The sequence below is a fragment of the Homo sapiens genome, chromosome 10, assembly GCF_000001405.40.
Source record: "Homo sapiens chromosome 10, GRCh38.p14 Primary Assembly".
In the NCBI taxonomy this organism is placed as follows: domain Eukaryota; kingdom Metazoa; phylum Chordata; class Mammalia; order Primates; family Hominidae; genus Homo; species Homo sapiens.
Window position 1 is genome coordinate 24,558,621 of NC_000010.11, and position 2,932 is coordinate 24,561,552.

A 2,932-nucleotide genomic window follows, 5' to 3' on the forward strand; every position below is an offset into this window, starting at 1 on the left:
ACTCAGGAGGCTGAGGCTGGAGGATCACTTGAGCCCAGAAAGTGGAGGCTGTGGTGAGCCCTGATCGCACCATTGCACACCAGCCTGGGCAACAGAGTGAGACCCTGTCTCTAAAGGAAAAAAATGTATGAACTGGGGAAGGTCCTTACTCAGGTAAGCTAACCAAAGCAATGGTTCAATTCAGAAAAGGTAGTTAGGAGTAGATGATGGTGTATTTTATCAAAATCTGAACAAACGTCGGCAGGCAGAACCTACTGGGCGTGTTCCATCTCTTAGCTTGCACGTTGTGTTTCTAGTTGAGCACCTATGACTGCATTAAATTCTGAGTAGCAGCTGCCGATGGTTCACTTGATAAAGGCTGTCATCAAAAGCCCCTGAGCCTCTTCCACCTGTGCAAAAGCTAAGCCATGTAGCCACTGTTCTATACTTGTGCAATTGCTATTTTGGACTCAGACAAATTTATATATATATCCCTGTCCCTGTCACATTTCCACCTGTTTGATTCAACCGACCATTCCATGTGCATTTAAATAAAATCCAAAATTTTTCTAGGGCCTGCAGGCTCTGTCAACATCTCCAACTTCACCTGCTATTCCACAATAACGTTTTGCCTGATGAATAAGCAAAGACATTACCTGTGGATCAGTAACTCTCAGCTTGTGGGTAACCCTTATTCTCTCCCAATGCCATAGGATGGTTGGGGGAGCTATGTAGAATTTTCTTTCGTCTCTTTTTTTTTTAGAGACAGGGTCTTGTTCTGTCACCCAGGCTGGAGTGCAGTAGAATGACCATAGCTTACTGCAACCTCAAACTCCTGGACTCAAGTGATCTTCTTTCCTCAGCCTCCCAAGTAGCTGGGACTATACAGGCACACTAAGTTTTATTATTATTATTTGTAGAGACAGGGTCTCACTATATTTCCCAGGCTTGTCTCGGATTCCTGGGGTCAAGCAGTCTTCCCTCCTCAGCCTCCCAAAGTGCTGGGATTACAGACATGAGCCACCTCATGCAGCCCTGGAATTTTCATCTCTAACAGAGAGTCACATGCTACCAAAGAAGGTAGCGCTGCTTGGGGGTCTGTTTGAATTTCTACTGTCAGTTCTTCCCAAGTCCAGGCTCTCAGACATTGGCACTATGTGAAGGCCTGGGCCTGGGGTGGTGGTATTTCGGATGGGCTCTGAGTTCTCTGTGGCCTCTGTTGATTTCCCCCGGCAGAACTGATGCCTTAAACTTCTGGAGACCACAGCTCTACCTTGGAGGTTCTTAACCTGATGTGATTTTGCACCCCCCACCACCCCCAGGGGACATTTTGACAGTGTCTGAGATGTTTTTGGTTCTCGCAGCTAGGGTGATGGTGTGCTACCAATATCTAGTCCGTAGAGCCCAGAGGTGCTGCAAGGCAGCCCCCACCCCCACAATAGGGAATGATCTGGCTCAATGTATCAGGTGTGCCCAGGCTGAGCAGCTCTGCCTTAATTCCACACCTTATTTGTTGGGTGTTTATATCTCTTTCACTCAGATCCCTGTGAGGACAGGGATGGGGTTTGACCACTTCTGTTCTTGGCCCATGGAAGATGCCAGTGAGTGAGTAGGTGGTGTCATGTTTTATACTCAAAAGCCATTCTCTTTTAAATAAGTCCTACACTGGCAGCTGACTCTGACATAGGGTGACCTCAGTTGGGGAAAAAGGAAATGGAGCATCCCATTCCTCATTTGCAAGTGGCCACCTTTCTCTCTTTTCCCTCCCTCTTTTCCTCCCTCTTTTCCCTCCCTCTTTTCTGCTCCCATGTTTCGCCTCTGCAAACTTTTGCCCTTCCATGTTTGCTTTAATATAAGTTGCCCTGTTACAAGCAGAGTCAGAATTTCAGCCATCACAGGGTGCAGAGTCCTGTCCTCACATCCCAGTACTCAGAATGGGAATAGGAGGCAAACCCATGGCTCTTCACTGTAGCCACTATGAGAATTAACTGTGGGCTTTAAAAGCTCATCGGCCCCCGGTTAGAAGTTGCCCAGGATTCTGAAGCTCAGCTGGGATGGGGAGCTGTTGGGGTGACAAGGGGCTGCTCTGCACAGCTCTGCCTGGCTTTGCTGTGGGACAACAGCATCAGGCTGGAGCAAGTGGCCCGAGGAAAGAGGTCTCAAACCTATCAGCATCATGGCCCCTTGGAGAATCAACTGAAAGCAATGGGCCCTCTCCTGAGGCCTGTTCACAGTTTTGACCATATTCCAGGTCCCTGAGCTAAGAATCCCTGATTTTTGTTTCTAAGTGGCCCCCCAGATTTGGGAGTAGATGGCATCAGGGGAGACAGTGGAGAGCCAGTAGCTTGCCTCCTCCTGCATCCCCAGAAGAGCTCCTGCCTGCTATGTGCTCATGTCTCTTCCTTCCCACCACCTATTAGTGTGCACTGACCTTGGAAGAAAATCAGGGCAGCCCTCAGCCTCCCCACTGGTTGCTTTATCTTAGCAGGATCATGATTACTAGTTCCAAGACGACCCAGATGATAAGTTACTGTGAAGACAGACTTCCATATGACTGACTTAGTTGTATTTTTTTATTTTTTTTAAATACTCCGTGGTTACTTTGATTAGAAGGAATATCTTCTGTGTATCCTAGGTCCCAAACATGCATAAGTCAGTTTTCTCTTGTGCAAATATATCTTTCAGGTTATTTACCTGTTTTTAAAGAATGACAGTTGCTGTGGACAAAATGTTTGTCTCCCTCAACTTCTTAGGTTGAAATCCAAACTCTCAATGTGATGGTATTAGGAGATGGGGCCTTTAGAGGTAATTAGGTCATGAGGGAGGAGCCCTCAGGTGTGGGATTAGCCTTTATGAACATGATAATGAGCATTCCCTTGCCCCCTCTACCATGTGAGGACACAGTGAGAAGACAGACATGTATGAACCAGGAAGTGGGCCCCACCAGACAAGA

General features: G+C 47.3%; 1 annotated feature.

The window, feature by feature from the left end:
* Nucleotides 1-448: a silencer, noted in NCBI's record as "fragment chr10:24847550-24847997 (GRCh37/hg19 assembly coordinates)". NCBI's record gives its function as "represses an EF-1alpha promoter that drives an FKBP-Casp9 reporter gene in an ReSE screen in phorbol 12-myristate 13-acetate-treated (for megakaryocytic differentiation) K562 erythroleukemia cells {active_cell/tissue: K562(+PMA)}" and the evidence as "EXISTENCE:reporter gene assay evidence [ECO:0000049][PMID:32094911]".